Here is a 27162-nt window from a genome sequence, read left to right as displayed (position 1 = left end):
GAGTGTCTGTAGTCCCAGATACTTGGGAGGCTGAGGCATGAGGATCGGCCAGGCATTCAAAGCTATAGTGAGCTATGATCATGTCCCTGCACTCCAGCCTGGGCAAGAGAACAAGACCCTGAGAAAGAAAAGAAAAGAAAAGAGGAGAGGAGAGGAGGGGAGAGGAGGAATCTTTGAGGAAACATACAATGTAAATTTAAAAAAAAGAAGAAAGTTTGACAAGAGATCTTGGACATTACATCTACGTAATATTTTCCTAGGGCTGCAATAACAAATTACCACAAAATGGGAGGCTTAAAGCAACCAAAATTTATTTTCTCATAGTTTTGGAAGCTAGAATTGGAATATGAAGGTGTCAGCTGGGCTATGCTCCCTCTGAGACTCTGAGCAGAACCTTCCCTACCTCTTCCTTGCTCCTGGTGGTGGCTGTCAGTCTTCGGCATTTATTAGCTTGCGGCTGCATCGATGCAATCTCTGCCTCTGCCATTACATGTTGTTCTCCCTGTTTGTCTCTATCTTCTTCCTATAAGGACACCAGTCATATTGGATTAGACCCCACCCTATTACCTCATCTTAACTCGATTCTATCTACAAAGACCCTGTTCACAAATAAAGTCACCTTCTGAGGCATTGGGGGTAAGGACTTCAACATACCTTTTTAGGGGACATAATGCAACTCATAACAATGTATGACAGCAGGAAAAAGTCAGTAGAAGGTTTGAACTGTAAAGATTTCCTGGGAAGAAAATCTCCCAGAAAGTGGAACAAAAGTGGAACAAAGGGCAAAGAGATGAAAATTAGGAGAAAAAATAGAATAAATTTAGAGGACAAGTCCAGACCATCTAAAATTTAAATAGTAGGAGCTCTGAGGAGAAAAATAAAAAAAAAACAAAACACACACACGGAAGGGAATTACTAAAAGAATAATTCACTGAATGACCAACACACAAAATGAAACATAGTTGTGGACTGTTACAATATAGGTGATCAATACATAATCCTGAAGGGGGTAAAACAGGTAATATACAAGGATTGTCACAAAGAATGGCATAGGAATTCTCAGTGGTGACACTGGAATCTAAAAGACAAAACAAACCTTAGAATTTTGAAGGAAACTGATTTCGAAAGTACTGTACTCAACCAATCTCTCAGGTCCAGTCAGGTGCTAACATATTGTAAAGATAGCTCAGACATGGTAGGCCTCAAAGTGTCTCTCCCATAGACCATTTTCCAGCCTTTCAGCCATGTTCTGGAGGATGTAAATCAACTGCAAGAATTAAGGGGTTTCCCAGATGAGAACCCCAGGAAAGAGATGTACAAGAAGTGCAGAAAATAATGTGTATATATCAGTGCAAGAGAACTGAGGGCTCGAGTACAGGTGTCTCTAAGAAAATGAATCTGAGGATTATGCTATATGTTTGGCTATTTGGGGAAGACAGTTAAACTTGTGGTAGAGAGTCCAGGATCAATTCGTGATGAGATTTAGTCACCTGAGCAGAGAAAAATGAGGCAATGATTGACCCAAGCAAAAGAAAATTGTCCCATGTAAAAAGAAATATATCATAGTGCACTACTTGGTTCCACTGAGAGTATTTTTATATACTGATAATAAGGCTAACAGTTAAACTGATTTCATTTGGTCAGTCATAAGATAATTTACTGAACACTTACAGCAAGTAACACTTACATCAGATCGGCATCAGGTGCCCATCTAGGCACCAAGCATACATCAATGAGACAACTAACTTAACTAATGAGATGAATGTATTTTTACTACCAAAATAAAAAAAAATGATAGTAAAAACAAGGATTGTCACAAAGAATGGCATAGGAATTCCCAATGGCAACATTGGAATCTAAAAGGAAATCCTATCAGCTGTTTTTAAAATATATGCTGGATCTAACCAATTTCCACAAGCTTCCCTGTTATCACTGTTGGGGGAGAAAGTCGGCTGTGGGCTCTGAGCCTTCCTGCTTACTGCTGCATGTGCCAAACTGCAAGGATTATTCTTTCCTTAAATGTGAGCAGTTTCTATAGCTGGTAAAGAAGGCAACTAATACATGGAGGCAACCATAGCTTGATTGCGGTGTGACTTCTTGCTCCCCTGGAGACATGGACTGACTTGTTTGCTATTTGCTACGAAGGGTTCTGGGCCTTAATCCTGGGTCCCTCTACCGCTGTGCAACCCCCTGCAGGCCGAGCATCTATCTAGGCTCTTTATGGGACTTGAGGACGAGGCAAACTGGCACAATTACGCTGCTGCTGTTTTCTGTGCCGTGAGTAAGTAACTGTCTTAAGGCTTGTTGTCTGCTTTCCAGGAGTACTCATGGAGCTGTGGCACCCTTCCTGCTTGCCATTCTCTATGAAGTTGAGGTTCTGTATACATCGCTGGTAAAAAGGTAAAAATCAGGGAGTGGCTTTGGAAAGCGGTTTGACAGTTTCTTAAAATGTTCAACATAAACTTTCCATATGACCCAGCAATTTTACTCCTAGATATCTACTTAAAACAAATGAAAACTTAAGTCCACTCAACATAAATTGTTTGTACAGAATTATTCATAACAGCCAAATACTGAAAACAACTCAAATACCCATCAACTGATGAATGAATAAACAAAATGTAGTATATCCACACAATGGAATACTATTAAGCAATAAAAACGAAATCAACTACTAATACTTGCCACAAAATGGATTAATCTCAAAAACATGCTAGTGAAAGAAACCTGGTGCAAAAGACTGCAATACAAATCTGTATAGATAGAAAGCAGATTAGTTGTTGACTGAGGATGAGCATGAGAATGGAAATTGACTGTAAATGGAAGTTGACTATAAATGGGCACAAGGACCTTCTTGAGGTGATGGACATATTATGCAACTAGATTGTAGTGGTGGCTGAACAACTCTAAATTTACCAAAGATCACTGAATTGCACACTTACATAGGGTGAAAGTTATAATATATAAATTGTACCTCAGTAAAGCTGTTTAAAGAATATATTCCATTCATTAAAGAAGAAAAGGATACTATAAAATAGAAATCATAAAAATAAAAAATAACTCTTGAAAAGGAAACGTGATTTTGAAATATCTTTAAATGTAATAGAAGTTTGGAAGGTTAAAGTGAAGGAAATCTCCTAGAATACGAAACTGAAATACTCAAGCATGAAAGATAAGAGAACCTAATCCAGGAATTTTAAGAGAATACAGAGATCCAAGAAGAAGTAATGAAACATTTAAAAACCCTCTAAATATATTGCCATGAAATTTCAAAATGCTAAGGGGAAGGAGAAGCCCTAAAACTTCCACATTGCAAAATACAGAAAATGAGACTCAGCCAGGAATTTAATGTCTCATCAATAACACTAAATGGACACAAGAATCAGGGCATTGGACCATGGAGAATGAAATGCAATCCTAGCACTTTATTTTACGTGGCAACAAACAAAATGCAAATCGCTATTCTTATGTAAATACTATTTATTACTTTTCAACTTTTAGAGAAGGTAGTTACAAAACAGAATATAAACATCATCAGATGACTTGATATTTCAGTTCTGAGGAAAAATGATTTTAAACCTAGACTACTATGGCCACCCAATTTTTCAATGAGAGTTAAGACAAACGAAAGCATTTTTGGAAAAGAGCTCAGAATATACCCACCATACATTTTTTCCCTCTACGGAGAATAACAGGGGTAAAGAGAAAGGAAATCATGGGCTGTAAGAAATAATGAACTTTACTGAGGAGCTCAGTGAAAATGTTGCCAGCATGACAGTTATGCAGAATATCTAGTAAACAACTGGTTCAAATTAAAAATAAGAAGCCCGCCAGGCGCAGTGGCTCAGGCCTGTAATCCCAGCACTTTGGGAGGCCAATGCGGGCAGATCATGAGGTCAAGAGATCGAGATCATCCTGGCCAACATGGTGAAATTCTATCTCTACTAAAAATACAAAAATTAGCCAGCCAGGCATGGTGGCGTGCACCTGTAGTTCCAGATACTGGGGAGCCTGAGGCAGGGGAATCACTTGAACCTGGGAGGCAAAGGTTGCAATAAGCCAAGATCACACCATTGTGCTCCAGCCTGGCGACAGAGCGAGACTCCATCTCAAAAAATAAAATAAAAAAAAGAAGAAGCCACTGGATTCTAAGAATAAAAGGGAATAGGATGGATTCCAAGCAATATACCAAGACTACAGAACTATCTTATATTAGTAAAAAGTGGTAAAAATAAAAACAAAAACATGTTTCTACTCACAACAAGAGGGGGAGGAGTTAATTAGAACAGTTAAGAAAGCTGTAAAACTGTATAAGAAAGGCACGTCCAAATACATTGCAAAGTGAACTATGGCATGATTTCGAACAATAGAGGGAGTCTAAGAAAAGAAAATCCACTTAGGTTCCATGCTGTGAATTGTCGCCTTCAAATGACACAGGAGTTAGGGCATTGCACCCATGGAGAATGAAATGCAATCCTATTTTACTTGGCAAGAAATGAAAAGCAAATAGTTTAATTACATACATTTATTTATTTCTTATCAACTATGAGAGATAACTCATTGAATTAATCCTCAACCTTAAATGTATTACAAAACAGAATATAAACATCAACCTTGATGATATAAAATGAGAAGAGTGTAGAAAAGAAGGAAGTAAATAATAATATCCTCATCTAATATAATAGAAAGTCAAGATATAACAGCTTAAGTTGGTGAAGTAAGAAATAGAAGTTTAAATATGATATATAAAGTTACAAAGGCAAGCAACAAAACTAAAATAATCACTGCCAAAAATCCAAATGGAGAGATAAAAAAAAAAAAAACTTGGATAAGTAATGGAAGTAAATCCTCATCTTTCATAGTGGAGAGTTAGTAGAAATATGTTAAATGTATAAGTAAAGAAATAGCGACATATGCATATTCTCACAAATATGTGGGAGCTAAAAAAATTGACCTCATGGAGGTAGAGAGTAGAATGGAGAACCTCTCCTCTTAGTGGAAATACTTTAAAGCTTCTCCTCATTTATGTAGTTCCATAATGTACAACTTTAATTCTAGCTGAATTAGCCAGGCATGGTGGTGCACGCCTGTAATCCCGGCTACTCAGGAGGCCGAGGCATGAGAATTGCTTGGACCCAGGAGGCAGAGGTTGCAGTGATCCAAGATTGGCCACTATACTCCAGCATGGGCGACAGAATGAGACCCTGCCTCAAATAAATAAATAAATAAATAAATAAATAAATAAATAAATAATTAATTCTAGCTGAAGTTCCACTGAAATTGTCTTTGTACCAAACGGAACCATACTTCTCATTACTTCTCACTTTCATTGTTCACTTAGCACTTGCAATGAATCAATTATTTCTGGAATACAGAGAAGCCTAAATCAAGAGAGAAAAGTTTTATAGCCTAGAATGGATTGAGTATTTATTGATTATTTTTACCATTATTTACATTCAAAAATAATTTAAAGGATTTTACAATTCTGAAATGGGATTGTTAAAAAGGAGAAAGAGGGAAAGGGAGTGGAAATCATTTTCTAGAAGACTCATTTCTTAAAATACCAGTAGACTATAACCCTGCTATGCTTGTTTGTGCAGTGCAAACTCTTGATAGGTCACACTAAGCTTTTTATAAACTATTGCTACTTGCAGAGAGGATCCAGGCAGCATGCTTTACCTATACAGCCAGGAAATGCAGACAGGAAAACATCTTCACTGGTGTGCACTGACAAAGAAGCTTGGGGAAGCCTTCCATAATAAAAAAAGATGGGGCCGGGCGCGGTGGCTCACGCCTGTAATCCCAGCACTTTGGGAGGCCGAGACGGGGGGATCACGAGGTCAGGAGATCGAGACCATCCTGGCTAACGCGGTGAAACCCCGTCTCTACTAAAAATACAAAAAAATTAGTCGGGCGTGGTAGCAGACGCCTGTAGTCCCAGCTACTCGGGAGGCTGAGACAGGAGAATGGTGTGAACCTGGGAGGCGGAGCTTGCAGTGAGCCGAGATCGCTCCACTGCACTCCAGCCTGGGCAACAGAGTGAGACTCTGTCTCAAAAAAAAAAAAAAAAAAAGAAAAAAAGAAAAAAAGATGGGTAGGATCCTCCATAGGTCTCCTTGTGTCCCATCCTTCTCAATTCCTTCCATTTGTATATAGGAAAGTTCCAAACAGGACATGAGGTATCATAACAATAAAGAGTTCTGTACAACAGAATTTCTCCTCTACAGCACTTAATACACTGAAACCTATCTGAATGTAGTCTGTTTATGCCCTTTTTCTCAGCTGTTTCCTTGGGAGAACTGAACTGCAGTTTAGACTCTCATGGCTTTTGCTTTGCTATAAACATAACCTCCAACCCAATCTCCGCTGTACCTCTCCTCTGCAAGCCATCATTCATTGAAAAAAACAGACCTTTCTCCCAAATTCACACAACTGACACTCCTTCCCAATGTAATGGGCACTCAGTGTTAGACTTTATTCTTCTCTTGTTCTTGGTGTGTTTAGAGAGCAAATATAAAGTTCTATTTGTAGGATATTCAAAATAATATAAAAGTCGAAGTCCAAAAGAGAACTTTGTGTAGAGTTAGGGGCTTGAATTGATAGTAAAGAAATAAGAAGAGTTTATACAATGAAGTTATATTACACCACTTATTTCAACCATTTTGGAGCAAACATTCTACCCTGTTACATATCCAGTGCAGGGGAATCTACAATTACCATATGGAAAAAATAGCCTAAATTAAAATCAAATAATTAGATGAATATCTGAGCCATTAATAGAAACCAACTAGCTCCCATTTTAATAAGCAGGATTTTTCAAGAAGGCTTCCTGCTGTAAAGTCAAGAGTGTGGAAAGTGAACATGACTGCATTGTGATAAATGCAAATAGTTATTCCTATTGGTAGAATAGGTTAAGAAACTTAACACAAGCATTATGCTGAAGATAGTTCACAGGGAAAAGGGAGCTGGTGGAGAGCCTTGGCTGACACCAAGCTGCCTCCGATTGCATTTCTGCTCCTCCCTCTGCCTCCTGTGCACTTAAACTTCACTTTCCTGCCATGTAACATGGGCAATAATAATTACATGTCACACAAGGTGGCTGTGAGGAAAAGATGAGTAGCATTCATTAAACATTAACTGTAGTGATGATTATTACTACTTTTTCCTCACTTAAGACATAAGATAACGAGCTCAGAAGAGATTGTTACAGCCACTTCGTTCTAACTGGGTGGCCACAGTAAATCTTATTTTGTTAGCAGTCATAGACTAGGTAAGCAAGTATTTTTAAAAATTGATGTGTTGCTGTGTGTTCCCTGCATTCATGGTATCCAAACCCAGAACACCACTAAGATATAACGATGGAAGGACTTATATGAGAGTTAGGAGTAATCTTCACTTTGTCACATTGGAAATGGCTGGTTTGCTATTTTATTATGTTATTTTACAATAATCTATTATATGACCTCAGAGTCTGAGGTATGTGCAGGAGTGTGCTGAAGCCAGCCTGTATCAAGACCCAATTGTTCAATATTCAAGAATTTTGGAAGCTGGATGCTAAATTATTGATGGCTTGAAATAAACCACAGTGGGAGTATTTACACCACAGAAATTGGCAGCTGCTACAGATTGGAGTCTTTACCAGCACACCCCTCAGTGTGTATGTCCTGGATAACAGGTGGAAGGAAGTGAGGACACTCAAAAGTAGTGGCTTGTTCTTTCCAAAGTGTGTTTCCATCCTATCCAAATAATCTTTACACCAATTCGATGACAGTGACAGGGTATTATTTATTCTTCTTATTTTACATATTAGGAAACTAAAACAATGATGCAAAGTAACATCAGGATTAACCCAAAGTAATGCCTATCAGGGCAGAGCCAGGACTAAAACTCAAGTGATCAGAATTACCACAACACTGATTCTATTCTTGTTTTGAGATGTAGCATCATAAGATTTTATCTGTAGTAATTTGGGACTCCCAATTAATTTTAAGAGGTGCTACAACATTTTCTAAATAAAACAAAATAAAGAAGGGAAGGAAAGAACCAAGTCATCTAAATTAAATACCATCCATATATCATTTTGTTGGGAGGGTAGAGGATGAGGAGACAGTTGACAACATGGTAAAGATTTCCTGTAGAAGTAAATATTTAATTTGTCAACATGACGTGAAGTGTGTGCTTGTTGCTTTTGGGTATGTACTATTATTTGAATATGGTTTGGGTTTGTCCCCATCAAATTCATGTTGCAATTTTATGCTCAATGTGGTGATGTTGGAGGTGGGGCCTAGTGGAAGGTGTTGGGGTCATGGAGGCAGATCACTCACAAATGGTGTGGCATGGTGCTCCCAGCAGTGAGTTCTCACTCTGGCAGGCATACATTAGTTCTCTTGAGAACATTCCTCGAACGTGGTTTGTTTTCTTTTTTTTTAGTAAAAATTTTCTTTCTTTCTAAATTATACTTGAAGTTCTGGGATACATGTGCAGAATGTGCAGGTTTGTTACATAGGTGTACACTTGCCATGGTGGTTTGCTGCACCCATCAATATAATCTACATCAGTTACATCAGGTATTTCTCCTAATGCTATCCTCCCCTAGCCCCCCACCCCACAACAGGCCGTGGTGAGTGATGTTCCCCTCCCTGTGTCCATGTGTTCTCCTTGTTCAACACCCACTTATGAGAACATGTGCTGTTTGGGTTTCTGTTCCCGTGTTAGTTTGCTGAGAGTGATGTTTTCCAGTTTCATCCATGTACCTGCAAAGGACACGAACTCATGCTTTTTTATGACTGCATAGTATTCCATAGTGTATATGTGCCACATTTTCTTTATCCAGTCTACCATTGAAGGGCATTTGGGTTGGTTCCAAGTCTTTGCTATTGTGAATAGTGCCACAGTAAACATGCATGTGCATGTGTCTTTATAGTAGAATGATTTATAATCCTTTGGGTATATACCCAGTAATGGGATCACTGGGTCAAATGGTGTTTCTTGTTCTAGATCCTTGAGGAATTGCCACACTGTCTTCCACAATGGTTGAACTAATTTACACTCCCACCAACAGTGTAAAAGCGTTCTTATTTCTCCACATCCTCTCCAATATCTGTTGTTTCCTCACTTTTTAATGATTGCCATTCTAACTGGAGTGAGATGGTATCTCATTGTGGTTTTGATTTGGATTTCTCTAATGACCAGTGATAATGAGCTTTTTTTCATATGTTTGTTGGCCGCATAAATGTCTTCTTTTGAGAAGTGTCTGTTCATATCCTTCACCCACTTTTTGATGGAGTTGTTTTTTTCTTGTAAATTTGTTTAAGTTCCTTGTAGATTCTGGATATTAGCCCTTTGTCAGATGGATAAACTGCAAACATTTTCTCCCACCCTCTAGCTTGCCTGTTCACTCTGACGATAGTTTCCTTTGCTGTGCCGAAGCTCTTTAGTTTAATTAGATTCGCTCTGAAAACTGGCACAAGACAAGGATGCCCTCTCTCACCACTCCTATTCAACATAGTATTGGAATTCTGGCGTCAGCAATCAGGCAAGAGAAACAAATAAAGTGTATTCAAATAGGAAGACAGAAAGTCAAATTGTCTCTGTTTGCAGATGACATGATTGTATATTTAGAAAACCCCATCGTCTCAGTTCATAATCTCCTTAAGCTGATAAGCAACTTCAGCAAAGTCTCAGGATACAAAATCAATGTGCAAAAATCACAAGCATTCCTATACACCAATAATAAACAGAGAGCCAAATCATGAGTGAACTGCCATTCACAAATGCTTCAAAGACAATAAAATACTTAGGAATACAACTTACAAGGGATGTAGTTTGTCTAAAAGACAGGATGAGGATGCCCTTGAGTTTTCCTTCTTCACACATGTGCACTTCCCCCTTGGACTTTCTCTACCATGTCTCATGCAAGCACGTGGTGGTCACCAGAAGTTCAACAGATTCAGTGTCATGCTTCTCATAGGTCCAGGCCTACAGAATCATGGGCTAATAAACCTCTTTTCTTTATAAATTACCCAGTCCTAAGTATTCTGTTATAGCAACACAAAAGGGACTAAAACATTGTGGAAAGAGGATATTAAAGAAATGGAACACGTACATTTTTCCCTGAGGAAGATTTCATTATCATTAGGAATCCTGAACAGACATGAAATGCTTAAAAATGTTTACAAAAAAGTAAGAAATTTTTGTTTGGGAGCTTATATGTTGAGAGGGGGACCAAAGGAGGCTTTCTGGAGGGAGGGAATTTTGAGGTGTGTCTAGCAGGTGTCTTTTAAATCCGAATTGCTGAAGAGGAGATGCAAAGATATTGACAGCCAAAATGCTAACACAGCTAATCAATGACTTCCTTCCCCCAAATACCTCCAGCCTTCTGAATATTGTTGTATATAATGGAAACTCCTCTAGGGATAGGGCGAGGAAGCTTCAACCAGACAATGTCATTAACCCTTTTCCAGTCCGTTAAAAAAACCGAGGTTGAAAATTAATCACAAAATAGATTGAAGCATGGGATTTTTGTTTTCCTTTCCACCAATTTCCTTAGTCTATTGTGACATTCTGGTGGACAAGTCACTGTATCAGGCATGGAAATATCTGTCTGCGATAATTTTCCTATTGTTCTCTCTGAAGCTACACGGCATATTGTTGCACCCCAACTCACGAAAACCTAACAGGCAGATATTCAGACTCTTAACTAAATTGATTGGTGTACGGTTCTTTATATCACAAAAAGAGCTCTTATAAAAGGATTTATCATTGTTTTATAAAGTCATGTTTTTAAGAGACATTTAAGTGCTGTCTGTATTTCAGGCACTGTAGACACAAAGCTGTATAAAACAGGATTCACTGCCCTCTCAGATCTCCGAGTATGCTGGAGGAGACCACGCTGTTCTGGCATAATTATAATCAAACCCAGTTGTTATAATAGAAGGACATGCAAATGCTTTAGGATTAAGGTTAGGACAGTTAACTGCTGCAGGTATTGGACAAGTTTACCCCAAAAAAGGTGATACTTTAAGTGGAAATGAACAAGTTCACCAGATAAAAAGGGATAGCTTCCCTCAAGGATGACAAAACATAACAGTAAGAGAGTGCTAAAAAAAAAAAAAAAATCAATGTGTTGCCATGGTTTCCTCTGCATTCATGGTATTTCAATCTAGAAGACTACTTAGATATAATTACCAAAGGACTCATGTGTGATTAGCAGTAATTCTTACTTTATGTCACCAGACCAAGAAGTTTGTTGTTGTTACTGTTATAATTGGAGCAGGAAAATTGAAGTTTCTGGAGACAAGAGATTAAGGGTAAGCAATAGGAAACCACTGAACATTCTTAGCAAGAGAATAGTCACATGCTCTGATTTGTAGGGCTTAAAAAAAACAAAAAAAAAAAGATTATTTTAGACATGATATAGAGAGTAGATTAAAGGGTAGAATTCTTTAGGATCTCTCTTGTTACATTTAAAATATAAGTTTATTTACAAAATTTCTTGCTGCATAGAGCAAACCCTTATCCACAGCTGCTTAACAAGCTGGCAGATGTGGCCTGTAGCAACTGGGGCACACCTCTAATATGGGAGGTGATGTGTGATAAAGCCCAGCTTGTCTGTCATAGTGTTTTAATGCCTTGCTTCTTTATTTTTCAGAGGCACACAGCATTTTTGCTTAAAGCAACTACCCCAACTTTAAACCTGATAAACTATGATTGACTTTGCATCACCTACACTAAAAAAGTTTTCAAAGTATCAAAACAATGGCTCTAAATAATTTAGATATATAAGGTGTCTGTCATTTTTCTTCCATTTCCCCACCAAAAATCTCCACAAGTTCTTTGAAACCTACAGTGACATGCATTTTACCTCTGGACTATCTGCAAAGTTGGGATGGGATTTAATTCATTCTTTAAGATAAACAAGGAAAGCCTGTAAGGAAATTTCTCAAAATGAGGTCTACGATACATACTCCTAGTATTTTTTTTTCCAAGGAATTTCTAAATTGAGTTTAAAGTTTGCTTCTGATGGCTAGTATCCTGCTGAGTTAATAATTTTCAAATTTAGAAGACATAAAATAATAAAACTAAGTTGAAAAAAGCCACGATAGTCCAGGTTAGTGCTTTGGAACTTCTGGCGATATGGTCAGGGATCTTGGCAGGCAGTTGGCTTTATTCTTGGGTTTTAAATAATATTAATGTGGAAATCTTTGGCCACTTATGACTCTAATTCTACTCTGATGGCATAGTATAGGCATCGTTGGGCACTATTTTTCATTTTTTACTTTTAAAATAGGTGAGAGACTTTAGAAAACTCAAATCTCAAACTTCTCAAAGCAAAGGATCCAGGAAAATGAAGCTCTGCCTGCCATTTGCAAATAACCAGAACGATCATATTGTAAGTCAGAGAGCTTGAAAAGCAGTTCACCCTGCTCCCTTTTTCTCTTACTTTGGTTGACAGACTTTGTGTTTGCCAAGCCAAGGAGGAGGAGAAAAGAGATTAATAATGGCAAATTACCTAGGATTGATTCAGACTGGTGATTGATGAAAAATTTTTCAGCCATTGGCTAAAAAAGAAAAATCTAAGTGTAAAGTTGTTTGTATTCATAATGTCATTTCAATCCGAGGTTTATTTATCACAGTCCAACGGACTTTAGGCCGTGAGTCATTCCTTTAAGACCCAAAAGCTTAGCCTTTGTTGTATAGGAACTCAAGAGTCTCTACCCAAAATGTTAGGTAGGTGGCTTTGAAAACTGTTAGTCAGTGCCATTGAGGGTGGTGATGGGAAAGCAGTTGCCTGTTGTGCAGAACTGCTCGAATAATCTTCTTAAAACACCACTTTGATCCTTCTTATCAGGTCAAGACTAAATTCTCTAGTCATGGATCCAATTCCTTCAACACACAGCTTCACTGGCTATCTCTGAGCCTCTCTCTTACTCTCCCCTGGTGCCACCTACTCATCAATTTTTACCTTACACTTGGTTACTCCTCTTTTTTTTTTTTTTTTTTTTTGAGACAGAGTCTCATTCTGTCACCAGGCTGAAGTGCAGTGGCTCGATCTCGGCTCACTGCAACCTCTGCCTCCCAGGTTCAAGCCATTCTTTTGCCTCAGCCTCCCAAGTAGCTGGGATTACAGGCATGCGCCACCACATCCAGCTAATTTAATTTTTGTATTTTTAGTAGAGACGGGGTTTCACCATGTTGGCCAGGATGGTCTCGATCTCTTGACCTCGTGATATGCCCGCCTTGGCCTCCCAAAGTGCTGGGATTACAGGAGTGAGCCACTGCGCCCAGCCTTACTCCTTTATTTTCATGGCCCATATTTTATATCTTTGCCTTTGGTGCACATGCTCAACCTAGGATACTTTCTTAAATATTCTCCCTTAAACAAAACCTTCCGGAGTTTAGAATCTCACTTTACCAGACTTACCCCACCTGTGAAAGATATTTTGGTACCCCATGAAGGAAGGCAAGGTACTACCTGGTAATACTTTAAACCCTTTGTCATGCATTATTAGCCCTTTCATTCACAGGTTATAGGACTTTAGAACTGAAGGGATCCTAGGGATCACTTACAGAAGGGATTATTGAGGCTTTTCCAATGACAGAGAGAGTAAATGATTTTCCCAATGAGACAAAACAGTGCAGTGAAAACTGATGTTTCTGTAGACAGTCTTGATGCTCAATGATATCAGGAGATGATTCACAGTCCTCAAGGGCAGTTCACTTATGTTCCTGACAGTTCAGAGTTAAATCTGAATCTCATAAACCATGTATTCCATGTAACTCTTGTGTGACATCTCCCAGTTCAGAAGGATAGACATACTTCAGAGCATCACATTGTCTACCCACTCCAAGAGCAGCGAGCAAGTGCTGCATTTTGGAAAGCTTTCTTGGTTGTTTGATGTAAATTAAGGCTTCTACTTCCACTTTCTTATAGTAACCATTTACTTTCTCAGAGCAAACCTTTACCTTTTTATATGTGAATTTGCCTGTGATTATATTATTATATATTGCTATTATTATTTTAATAATAATTTAATTATTATATTATAATTGGACTGTAAAAATCATGAGGGCAATGGCTGGGATTCCTTTATGTATCTTTGTATCCTAGTGTCTAGCACATGCTTTGAACATAGCAGGTACTCAAGAAATATTGAATGAATAAATGTATGTTTGTGTCTTTTTTTTCTAGTTTAAGTGTAAAGTCTATAAGAGAGGGACTTAGTGCTTGTTAGCTTAAAGTAGGTCACTTAATGCCAAATCAGGGTTTTTAAAGAAAATTCACTAGAAAGGGGGTCAAAAATGTAAACTCCTATAGATGCAAGCAGGGAACATGAATGAGAAAAACCAGGCTGTGTGTGAGAATTACAAGCCAGGGACTCCTGGCTGGTGATGCCCCTCCCAGGCCTTGCTTGGCCACATTAGTATGCCTCAGCTCCCCTGTGTTCAGTGGTTCCTGAGCTCTTGCATTGCGCCCATGAAGAATGAGGATATGTGGGACATTGAAAGATGAGGAGGATGGAGAAGATTTTTATCGAATGATGAAAATGGCTTTCAACAGAGACAGGAACACAGTTGCTGGGGGTGCAGGGATTGTTCCCCTACCCAAAGGCCAGAAAGATCCCCCTGGTGGCCAGGTCTGGGGCCTTTTATGGACTCAGAATGGGGAGTGTGTGCTGATTGGTTTGTGAGTATGCAAATAAAGTTAAAGCAAAGGCACCACTCAAAGGTGGGCACAACAAAGTAGAAAAACCAATTAGGAACATCAGTTTTCACTGCACTGTTTTGTCTCATTGGGAAAATCCTTTACTCTCTCTGTCATTGGAAAAGCCTCAATAATCCCTCCTGTAAGTGATCCCTAGGATCCCTTCAGTTCTAAGGTTCTATAACCTGTGAATGAAAGGGCTAATAATGCATGACAAAGGGTTTAAAGTATTACCAGGTAGTACCTTGCCTTCCTTCATGGGGTACCAAAATATCTTTCAGAGGTGGGGTAAGTCTGCCTTTGGTGCACGTGCTCAACCTAGGATACTTTCTTAAATCTTCTCCCTTAAACAAAACCTTCAAATTCATTCCGGAGTTTAGATTCTCACTTTGCCAGACTTATGTATATGTAAAATAGGTGAAGGATGGGGACCAATCAGAGGAAAGCTTGCCAAACAGGAAGACAAGATCTCAATCTGGGTCCAAAGATTTAACTTGTAGGTTGGCTTTCAGTCTTTAAACTGTCTTCAGTTGGAGGTGGGGTTTCACTGAGGACCCACTTCTGTCTGCCTAGAATTTCTCTGCCTCTATCACAAGCACCTCTATCACAAGCACCATGATTAGTAAATGATACCCAGAACCAGGGAGGCAATAGAGAGTGGAGAGCAATGTGGCAAAGGAAAGAGCATAGGCCTCAACTAAATGGTCAGGATGTTACCAGGTAGAAATGGAAATCCAGCGTAACCAGATCTGATTTTTCTAGAGAGTGAAAATCTAGCTTTTGATATAAAATATCACAATATTAAAATATTGATAATTAGCTCATTTTAAAAAGAAAAACACTGTAGGCAAAACAAATCTTTCTATGGGAAGCCCAAAGGCTATAAGTTACCAGACTCCTGTTCTAAAATCCAAGGAATGTGACCAGGAAGCTCTGTAAGGGTAATTGAACCCAGTCTTCCCCATCTTTCCCGCATACCATGAGACTGCCTCTGGTACGTAGTGTCACGATCCAAATGTTGGGTCACCTGAGGGCCAGATGGGCCATACCTTTTATTCTAATCCAGGACCTACCAAGGCCAAAAAGAGATGGCACAGATGTGCCCTGCTGGCAGGCTGTGCAATTTGAGTCAGTGAATTCTCCCCATCACTCTACCCTGAGTCTTCATTTTTCATCTGAATTAGTGCAACAACCTCCACATTGGTCTTTCTGCTCCTAGGCTGACTCCTTGCCAATCTGTCCTTCACATGGCCACTCCAGTTCTCTTTCTAAGAGGCCAAGTTGGTCATGCCACAGCCCTGCTTAAAACCCTGCAATGACTTTCCATTCTCTTTAGAAGAAAAATCAAGCTCCCTACCTGCTTTCAAAGCCTTCCAGACTCTGACAGTTGCCCAGCTCTCCTGCCTCCATTTTCTCCTGTTTGTCATCTTATATATAAGGCCAAATCCCCTCTTGCTTCTAAGGCTTTCCACATGCTATTCCCTCAACTTGTAATGCCACATTTTCTCTTCAATCAAGACTGACACCTCCCTGTGGTTAGGCAAAATCCTATTCAACCATCAAGTCCAACTTACATTTTACTTCCTCAAGGAGATCTTGTTGAACCCCTAAATGGGTAAGAGCACCCTCTACTTTCCTTGTGATAGTAAATTTTGTGCATTGTTGTGCAGTGTCTGCCCTCCCCACTAGTCTGTAAGCTCCATGAAGAGGGGACTCACTTTATATAGCACTATCCCCCAAAACCAAGCACAATAAGGAGCATATTCTAGAATCTCAACAACACGTACTGATAGAGAAAGTGATCAAGTTAATATTTCATACCAGTTTTTCCCCCAAGCTGCCTGTTGGGTGCTATGATATCCACTTCTTTATTCAGGGCTTGTATTTGTAATCAGACATAGTTCTTAACTTTGGCTTATGTTTGATAGTCCCTAAGTACCGACTTTATCCACTAATTTCCATTGATAGCCATACTCCATATTTTTCACTTTCCAAAAGCACCATGAAATATTAGCAGTCAGTTGCAAAACAAGAAGCTAGATATATGTCTACTCACATTAAAAATCTCTAGATATTTTAGTGAGTAGAGCAAGTTTTAAAAAAATACACAGAAGAATGTTACATAGTTCTACAAGATTATTTTAAGAAATTTGTAAGCTCTAAGAAATCTTAAATTTTGAAGACACTACTCCACCTAATTTGAGACCTTTTTCCTAAATTAAATATAAATTTTTTGTTGTAAAAAATATTAGGAAAGATTTTTCTAATTTTGCTTTTGAAAAGATTTAGTTACAAGTAACTTATTTATTTTGTAATTAGTTATAATTTTTCAGTAATTATCATTTGCACTTGGGAACATTTGTGAAGTAAGGAAAATCTAACCTACCCATTGTTTTCAAATGTAATGACTTGTTTATAAATGCTATATTTGTTAATATTAAATTTGGTAGAGTTTTAAGCATTATTTTGAAATTTTGTAACTTTCTATACTTTAGAGGCAATAAAGAATGTTAGTACTTAAATATATTCATGGCTTCTGTAAAGCGGGTAAGCATTAGTCATTATGCCAATAGTGTCCAACAAAATGGTTACATGGCTATAAATATAAATACAGATATAGATGAAAATGCATAGAAGAAATAAAAGATCTGGAATCATATACAAAGAACTGATAACACTGGTTAACTCTAGGAAGAGAGCCAGTACTGAAAGTGGAGGGCTGAGAAACACTAGCTTAATCCATAATGTCTAAGTTTTTCACAAAGACAATTTAGTCCTATATTACTTTAAAATACTTGAGTGGGAGATCTCATAGATACTAACGATTTTCAAGTAGATATGTGTGTTTACTAATGATGGAAAGATTTCTAAGCCTGTTTTTGCTAGACTGTAACATATTTAAATAGATGAAATAGTTAGTGTTGATTTTATACAAAACAAACAAGCAAACAAAAAAATCTCCAAGATAATTGTACAAAAATTTCACTGAAGTATCTGACTATTTCAGGTCTCTTAGAATAGATAATTCAATATATAACTTTTGTAATAAATCTTCCCCAATGCTAATATCTGATTTTATAGCTTCTGGGTGCTTGGAATCGAAAAAGAAATTGATTTGAAAATTCCAGTATTAAAATAATGATACTCCAGAGGAAAAAGTAAGCAGACCGTGTCTCATTAATGTTGTTACTTTGCAGCAGTTTGGTTTTATCTCAGCATTTATTCCAAGGCTTTGTTAGTTGCTATAAGGCAAAGCATTTTCTAAAGACTCTAAATCAAAAGAATTTTCTAAAGACTTTGAGATGTCATCACAGAGGAAGATATTGGAATTTCATGTAACATGACCCTCATTCTTTCAACATATATTTTAATAATTACTTTTGAGAACATTTGCAAGCAGATATTTATATATGAGCATAACAAGTACAAGTCTGTTCAAATGCATCCAAGAGCATTTGTGCTTCCTCCCATTCAGAAAAGACAGTATTCTTATAAGTGTCAGAGTTTTATATAGTCTGTCAGTAAAAAAAGTATTTCTCAATAATCTAGTTACCACATGATGTTCTCCTGCATTACTTAATTAATTCTAAAAAGTAATTCTTTATATTCTTTTTTTAATAGCCTTCTTTTGTCCATTAATTTTCTCTCAACAGACCCAGAAACTGAATTGACCAGGATGAGCACAAGGACCATCTTCTGTTCTATTTTTTAGCATGGAAGAATGTATTTATCTTTTTATTTCCAAGATGAGATCTAGAGAAAATGTTAATTGATTCTTTTTGGCAATACGTGAGAAGTGGTAAAAGTATCATTCTAAAAACATGAGATAGCAAACAGTGCTAAAAAGAAGAATTAGAAAACATTAAAGTCCAATTTTCCAAAATGACATATTATGAAAGGGACAAGAAACAGGAACAAAGAAATCCATCAACCTGATGAGAAAGATTTCATTAAATGTCATAATATTCAAATGAAGCAAGCAGTAAGAATTTAAGGCATCACTGAAAAAAACTAAGCATCATGGATGTAAAATGGAGTTGTGAAGAGGAAAATGGAAGATATTAAGAAAATTAACAAATTGCTGTTTTTAGTGGGTTGCAGCACTTAGATAAGGAAAAGTAACATGGAAAAGAAATCTGTTTTTAGATCTTGATTGTATGAATTTTGTAACCTGAGTCAGGTGCTATGAAGGATCAGTCAGCTAAAACTCTTAAGGGGAAAATTACCTTCTTCCCTATAGGAAGCCTTGGTCATCCAATCGGAGAATTGGGTTCTATTTTGACATTGTATTGGTATTTGGGGTAATGCCGAAAAACAGACAAATTCTGAGAACAAAATCTGAACCATTCCAGACACAGATTGTTCCGAGCCTGGGCTTGGCCCAAAGCATCTCATTGTTGCTGTTTGGGTTTCGCATAGCCAGACGTTTTAAGACCTCTGACCTATTTCTCTGAACACAAACGCTTATGATTTCCAATTTCCCTCCTTTATTTTAGACTGACTGCAATGGCCATGCCTCATTTTGAGTGGGTCTTAACTTACTTTTAAAACTCTTGGAGAGAAACATAAAACTGAACCCAAACATTGAAGCCACATGTGCAGACCACCCAGCACCCCTCAACCCCATTCCCATGAGCCTGCGTCCACCCCAGCAATCCATGAGCATTCCAGTTCTTCCTGGGCAGGGAGGCAATATTCATTCAAAATTCCAGAAGGTGATTAGCTAGGCATGGTGGTGCACACCTGTAGTCCCAGCTACTGAGGAGGCTGATGTGCAAGGATCACTTGAGCTCAGGAAATCCAGGCTATGGTGAGCCATGATTGTGCCACTGCACTCTTAGCCTGAAAGACAAAGCAAGACTCTGTCTCAAAAAAAGAAAAAAGAAAAATCCACAACAACATTCAAAAATGAATCTCAACACTATCTGGTTTCTGCTGAAATAAGGTGGCTGCTCATGAGAGCTGTTTTAACTCACAAGAGTTTCAGCACATACAAACAATTATTGCTATGACACCGAGGTTGAGAAAAACGAAGCTGGCTGTTAACATTTTTCTCTAAATCCATCCCAATGACGTTAAAGGTTCCTTTTTTTTTCCTGTGCCCCCCCAGATGATCTTGACTTGACAGACATGATCCCAACAGCACTTAGCTATGTGCACAAGTCTTTTATCTCTGTTACAGCCTTCTCATTTTAATCATCAAAAGAGGCCATCAACCAACATTCTGCTTGTGGTTATAAACATGAGACAAATAAAATAAAAAGTGCTTGGCATGTCATCATCCCACTTTTGTATTACTGAATGCACTTTAAACTATGTCTTTGTGGAGGACAGTGTGGCAATTCCTCAAAGATGTAAACCAGAAATACCATTTGACCCAGCAATCCCATTACACCCAAAGGAATATAAATCTTTCTATTATAAAGGTACATGTACAAGTATGTTTATTGCAGCACTATTCACAATAGCAAAGACATGGAATCAATCCAAATGCCCATCAATGATAGACTGGAGAAAGGAGATGTTGTACTTATACACCGTAGAATACTAGCCAGCCATAAAAAGGAGTGAGATCATGTCCTTTGCAGGGACATGGATGGAGCTGGAAGCCATCATCCTCAGCAAACTAACACAGGAACAGAAAACCAACACCACATGTTCTCACTTACAAGTGGAAGCCAAACAATGAGAACACATAGACACAGGGAGGGGAACGTCACACCCTGGGGTCTTTCGGGGGACAGGGGTAGAGAGAGCATCAGGATTGATAGCTAATGTATGCAGGGCTTAATAACTAGGTGATGGGTTGATAGGCGCAGCAAACCACCATGGCACACGTTTACCTAAATAACAAACCTGCACATCCTGCACATGTATCCCAGAACTAAATAAAAATAAAGTAAAATAAAATGAATATCTCTTGAGCACAATGTCCACGGGCCCTTTCTGATCAGGAAGGAATTACTCTTAAGCTTTTCTCTTGTCCAATGACTTGCACAGCATCTACCCTGCTCTGGGGTCCACTCATCTTAGACTTTCCAGAAGAGTGTCTGTTTTAAATACCGTGTCCTTCCATTGCCTTAAGACATTGGATGTAAAATGTCCCCACCCTTCCCAGGATGCTCTTGGACCAAACTATCTATACATGGGTTAGGGAAATGTTTGGTGTAGGCACTATTTTCTCACAAGTCTTCATAATTAGCTTTCCTATCTATCACTATAGTGATCTAGGGCATCCCAGGATATCTGGTATCCCAGGGAATCAAGCTTTCAGCCAAGGTTTTACCCTTGAAAAAATGGGCATCACTCAACCATTTCAACAGTGAACTCAAGGATAGCCCATTACCAGAAGAATCCCATCACACTCACCCTCACCGCCAATCACAAATATTCTCAGAGTACAGAGGCTGGTATAAAATATCTTTTCACTGGGTCACTTCTCAGACATGCAGAGGCCTTCTCAGATGAGCATCCATAAGTTCCTCTCCCTTGGTTTCCTTTCTTCCTTTCTTTTTCTACTCTCTGTCCACCCCTAGAACCTCCTTTGTTGCTGGTCCTGTGTCTGAGCCCTTGGAAACCCATTCCTAGTTTCATTCAAGGAGGAGATGGTGAGTTCTTACCCTCTTTAAAGCAGAACACTTTCAAGACAAACAAATCTCTCTCATGCATAACATGGATGCATTATTCTGCTGCAAAAGTCCCTCCTGGGCAAGGTGAAGAAACATCAAAATATAGGTGGTCCAGGGGAAAGAAAAGCCCATTCTATCACAGTTCAATAACAAGAATTTAAAGAGACAAAAATTTAAGATATAAAAATATTTTGTTTTGCTAGGAGTGGTGGCTCATGCCTGTCATCCCAGCACTTTTGGAGGCCAAGGCAGGCAGATCACCTGAGGTCAGGAGTTCGAGACCAGCCTGGCCAAACATGCTGAAACCTCATCTCTACTAAAAATACAAAAATAAGCTGGGCGTGTTGGCGTGCACTTATAATCCCAGCTACTCAGGAGGCTGAGGCAGGAGAATCACTTGAACCCATGAGGCAGAGGTTGCAGTGAGCCGATATCACACCATTGTACTCCAGCCTGGGCAACAAGAGCGAAATACCATCTCAAAAAAAACAAAAAACTTAAAATATTTTGTTTCTAAGAAACTACTCTCTCTCTATATATATATACATACATACACACATATACATATACATATACATATATGTGTGTATATATACGTATGCATATATGTCATGATGCTTAAAGTTGAGACAGTGTCTATTAAGATAAGCATAGTTAATATCATTGAGTGCTCTCTTTGTGCCAGATTCTAAGTGTTTTATTTCTATTATATTATTTAATCCTCAAAACGACCCAAAGTAGTAGATGTTATGGTTGCCATTTTGCAGCTGGAGAAACAAACTGGAAAGTTCAAGTTGCTTGATTACAGTCAGACCACGCCTTCTGATTTGGGTTCAGAAGATGATGGGCACTGTCTGCATTATAGTTCTTTGAGTGTGACAGTTAATCCTTGATTAAATCGAAAGCATCTGGAAGTCGAAAAGCTTCATACCACCTCTCCCCGCTGCTCCACTAGAACTTAGAACAATGACCCACATACATGAGGAACTGACAAACATTTGTGAAATGCATGAAGCCACAGCAGAATTCTGCATAAGTTAAAAATTAAATTTTGCAGAAATAGTATCACATTTTTGCAGTTATATCCAAGTGTTCACACTTTGAGGTCACACATATAGTAATAAGTGAGATATAGTGATGACAGGAACATAGTTCAAAAGGGAACAAAAAACTTTAGCCAGAATCAACAAAATAAATGTCTTCCTGCACCAGAAATGGAACAGAGATGCAAAGTGGTGAGGTGGCTGAGACCAGGAGCCCAGGAGGCCCTGAGTCTGGAAGCAGGCAGTGGCTACCAAGAGATAATGTTCTGTTGGGTAAAGGGGACTAGGAGTTCTCCATCAAACACAGGGCAAGGGCCAGGCTCGCAGTTTGAAGGCAGGAGCTGAGGAGGGGCTCTCCCTAATCATGAAAAGAAACTAAAGAAGGAAAAACTAGCACGACAAATGTCCCCTAGAGAGATGGTTTTGGAGAGCAGCTCTTAGTTTCATCAGAATGCGATAGTAAACCATGTTGCCAGCTGGCCAAGTGAGAGGATCTTCCATCTCCAACATCACAGTGGAACAGGCATCTGAAACTATCATCTGAAACAACAGCTAGGGAAAATGCTCTGAATCCTCTTAATCCCAGAGGCTCAGAGGGCCAGGAGGAAGCAATTGCAAATCTGCTAGTCTGAGAGAGAGAGACAGATGCATTATGCAATCTAATACAAAAAGAGACAGCCAAGAAAATCAACCATCAAAATATGAATTTACTCCAGACTTAATTTTTAGAATTTTTTGGCAAAACCTTCAAATATGTAGGCTAAATGTGTTCAAAAAGATAAACGAGGCATAACTTCTTTTAACAAGAAAAAGACTGCATAAAACACAAACAAGGAGAAATGAAACAAGTACAAGTAGCACCGAAAAAGAACCTACTATAAATGTGGAAATGAAAGATATAATAATAAAAATTAAAATAAAGTACACTCGATAAATTAGTACAGAGTTGAAGAAAGGTGAATGAGTTGGACAGTATTTAGAAGGATCAAGCCTGCTTTTCAGTTCACATCAGGAAGAAAACACCAAATAGGTCTTGCTTTCTTTTTTTCCAAAAACAGTCTACTACAAGCGAGGGGGTGCTTTGGGGCTGCTTAAGCTCCCACAACCTTCGTTCAGCAACCATCTTTGATTAAGAAAATTAAAGAATAAATGCGTCCTGTGTTCTGTGCGGTAAGTATTGGCTATTCAGTTGCTGTAAAAGTACAAGTAGCCCCTCTTTGCTATAAGAGTTTTAAACCAGTGAGAAGAAGTGACTTTCCCATTTCACTCTTCTCACACCCATTTTGGGGATCAGAGACAGGAGACAGGGGCAGAGCCTCTGGGCTGGGGGCTGCCTCCCTGAGCAAGTCACTCCTGTGTTCCAGTGGGAGCGTATGGTGTGAGGGGCCCAACCTGGACATCTCTTCAATCCCAAGATGGATAAAAACAAATCTCTCAGTGAAGGATCATTCATGCCTATTGCCAGGAGTTACAGAGGAATAAGCGTGAGATTTAAAAGAGGTTTTTATTACCTTGTCTGAAGAGAGAGCTGGTGCTGCTGGGTTTTCTGCATTCCAACCTCTGAAAGAAGGGTTGTGTGTGTGACTCTGTGAGGTGGCCCCATTCCTGAGAGAGTCTCTAGGTACATGGGAAATAAGATGCATTGGAAATGGCACTCATCTGGGACACTCTAGAGCTGTTGTCTCTGCTGAAGGAGCCACCCTCCACCTGACTGGGAGGGCTCCTAGCTAGGGATGGTGTATCACACCTGCGACAGTTCCCCTTAAAGATGCTCTCCACTCAGACACAGGAGGCAGGCTGAGGAACTGAGGGGCACTAGGAGACTTGGGGTTGCAGAATGGAACATGTACATTGGATTTTCTTTCAATTTATTTAGTCTTAAAAAAAAAAACAAACCATGCCATGGACAGTTTGCTTGGTATTTGAAAGCTTGATGCTCGCCATCACTGAGGATTTGAGCAAAGTGAATATTCCCTGAAGTTTTTTAATGAATAGGCATTAAAAAAAAAAAGCTATATAAGAAACAATGGAGCCATGAAAGCAGATTGAGGCAGATGAGCCATTTTATTTGGAGGATCCTCTGAGCAGTGATTGCCTTGAATAGTTTTGCCTGTACCTTGACCTCAGCTGGTCTCACGGTGAACCGTGAGCCCTCACTTCCTCCTAGCTTCTCCATGGGGCCAAATCCAAAGTGTGTACGTTGGACCTGTAACCACCCCTGCCTATCCCTGCTGCACATCTGGCCTGCTGCTCACCACCTCTGTGGTCAAGGCTTCCTTCTGCCCTTTACAAGCTTTTACCTCTCCAGAAAATTCTACCGTCACTCTATCTTGCTTAACAGTGTCTTTTTATATTTTCCTGTGTTATTTATTTTGCTTAGTTTCCATAGAAACATAGGACTGGAGGATACTGTGGGGATTATCTACACCTACATCTTACGGATGAGAAAACTGAGGCCCAGGGAGATGGAGTTAGATTTTGTTTTGAGTGAGCCATGGGGGAAAAGAAGGATCTGTATAAAAGGACCTGGCTCCTCTCAGAGAGCTGGCTGTGTTTCTAGAACTTTGCGTCAATGAGTTTCTCAGGGTAGCAGGTTATTCCTGCATCCCCAGAGCTCCCCAGAAGCCCAGCACCAGAGCTCATTCTGAGAGTATCTGCACTCCCTCTGGGATCGGCTGACCCTGCTTCTGACCCTTTTAGACTCTTGGCGTGGTCTGGACAAGCAGGCTTCTTTCCCCAGCTTCCTGGCAACCATGATGTCATCCAGAATGTTCTCTCTCCAGCCTGACCTCATTTCCATCTTGCTGCCTCTCTCTAATGCTGCCACTCTCCTTGCCATGGAATTTGCTGGCGGGCCCATCAGCAGGGTGCCTCCTTCTGCCCCTCCTAAGTGTCTTTGGTGCCCTCGTGCCCATGAGCAGGAGTCTGTTACGAGGCTGCATTTGGACCAGCCCCCAGTGGAGTCTCACTGTTTTGTTCCCAGCTCCACAGGGAGGGCAATGTGACCCATCCACACCTGCACACAGTGCCTGCCAAGGCATGACGTGCTGAGGAAGACGTTTGCAAATTTGAAGGCTGATGAGGATAAGGTTCTCGGAGAGTTCCTGCTGTACATCTGTGGCCTAGGGCTTCTCCTTATGGAGAATAAAGTGAGTCAAATTCAATTGGCCTTAGAATTATAGAAGGTTAGAGCTGAGTCTTAAGAGATCATCTAGATGAGAGAGAGTCCACCAGGGATCAAATTTCATGTCCACACAAATCACCATAGGTGGTTGTTTAAAATTCAGATTTTTGGGTCCTACCCAGAGAGATTAGGAATTTAGTTGGTCCACAGTAGAGGCAAGGAAAAGGACTTTTTAATAAGCATAAGTGGTTCAGATTTGGAACCCCTCGAAGGTGCAAATAAGGAAGGCAAGAGCCGGGTCCGCAGTGTCCACTGCCTGTCGGTCCCCACTCAGGTGATGAAGGCTGTGGCTCCCCAGTCTCTGCAGAGGGGAGCCTCTGATCTTGCACCTCTGCGTGACCTGGTCTTCCTTTTGTTTCTAGAACTCTCCCTTCTGTGTGTCCCACCCTGGATCCTCCAGAGGCAGGCTGTGCTCCCAGAAAGGTACCCAGAGGAAAACACAAAGGTATGAGGGAGGGCAGCACAGAAAGGAAACTGAATGAGCAGTGAATGCAGCTTCAAAACTACTTCACGATTTTGCCAAGGGAAATTGCTCAGCCTGAACATCCAGGTAATTGGGTTGAAAAACAGTCATCAAGCCATCTGCCAGCCAATTAAATGTGTGGTCAGTCACTCACCTGATGAAACACCAAACAAAAATGTCTGCTTTAGCTGTTCCTTCCTCCTCCGTCCTCATCCTCCCCACTTCTTGCTTATTTTACTTCCCGATGGATGATGTGAGAAACCAAGTCAGAAAGAGAGATTAAAACAAAAGTTGCATTGTTTATCAATGTTAAACTTGTTTAACTTATTTTGTCAGAGTTTTTCCATGTGACATTGTGCAAAGACAAATATGTAAATGTGTGACCTGGTTCCTAAAGCTCACCAGGAGTGAGGCGACAGGACAGAAACCCAGAGGGGCACCAAAGATTGGGTGCTGCATACACAGAGAGTACAAAGGGAGGGGGGCATTAACCATTTTCTAGTAGAGATGCCTTTTAAGAAGATTTCATCGGCCGGGCATGGTGGCTCACACCTGTAATCCCTGCACTTTGGGAGGCCGAGGTGGGTGGATCACCTGAGGTCAGAAGTTCAAGACCAGCATGGCCAACATGATGAAATCCCATCTCTACTAAAAATACAAAAAATTAGACAGGCATGATGGCGGGCGCCCATAATCCCAGCTACTCAGGAGGCTGAGGCAGAAGAACCACTTGAACCCAGGAGGCAAAGGTTGTAATGAGCTGAGATCACGCCACTGCACTCCAGCCTGGGCAACAAGAGTGAATCTCTGTCTCAAAAAAAAAAAAAAAAGAGTTATTTTATCCTTTGAAGTTCCTCTTAAAGAGCCATTCGACTCTTTTGCGCCTAGTGTGCAACTTCAAATTATTTCTTCTTGCAGTTTTCTCAGTGCTTGCCAAGACCTCACAGATGAGAGGATGTTTTATACCTTCAGTGTGAGTTTTGTTCCATTCACAGACATTAATCACCAAGTGCCAAGAAGGGGCTGATATATGGCACACAACAACCAGCATAAATTACATTTTAAGGCACTCAGATAAGAGCAAAGTCAACATCTCCATGTACCACCTCAAATTCCTTTTGGAATTAGATGGTGGTATA

General features: G+C 39.6%; 1 long non-coding RNA gene across 3 annotated transcripts in view; it reads right to left on the bottom strand.

Annotated features, from left to right (window-relative positions):
- The window catches only part of LOC105370150 (uncharacterized), a 50628-nt gene that overhangs the window by 3259 nt on the left and 20207 nt on the right, over nucleotides 1-27162 (bottom strand). For 2 of the 3 annotated variants that reach the window (XR_941830.1, XR_941829.1), the window contains exons 3-5: nucleotides 26178-26260; nucleotides 23888-23993; nucleotides 404-523 (exon numbers count right to left, since the gene is read on the bottom strand). This is a non-coding gene — a long non-coding RNA (uncharacterized LOC105370150). Of the gene's footprint in view, nucleotides 1-403; nucleotides 524-23887; nucleotides 23994-26177; nucleotides 26537-27162 lie in introns of those variants that run through there. The other variant, XR_001749806.1, reaches the window with a different exon arrangement.

Source organism: Homo sapiens, chromosome 13 (genome assembly GCF_000001405.40).
Source record: "Homo sapiens chromosome 13, GRCh38.p14 Primary Assembly".
Taxonomy (NCBI): domain Eukaryota; kingdom Metazoa; phylum Chordata; class Mammalia; order Primates; family Hominidae; genus Homo; species Homo sapiens.
This window is presented reverse-complemented; position numbering and strand designations above follow the sequence as displayed.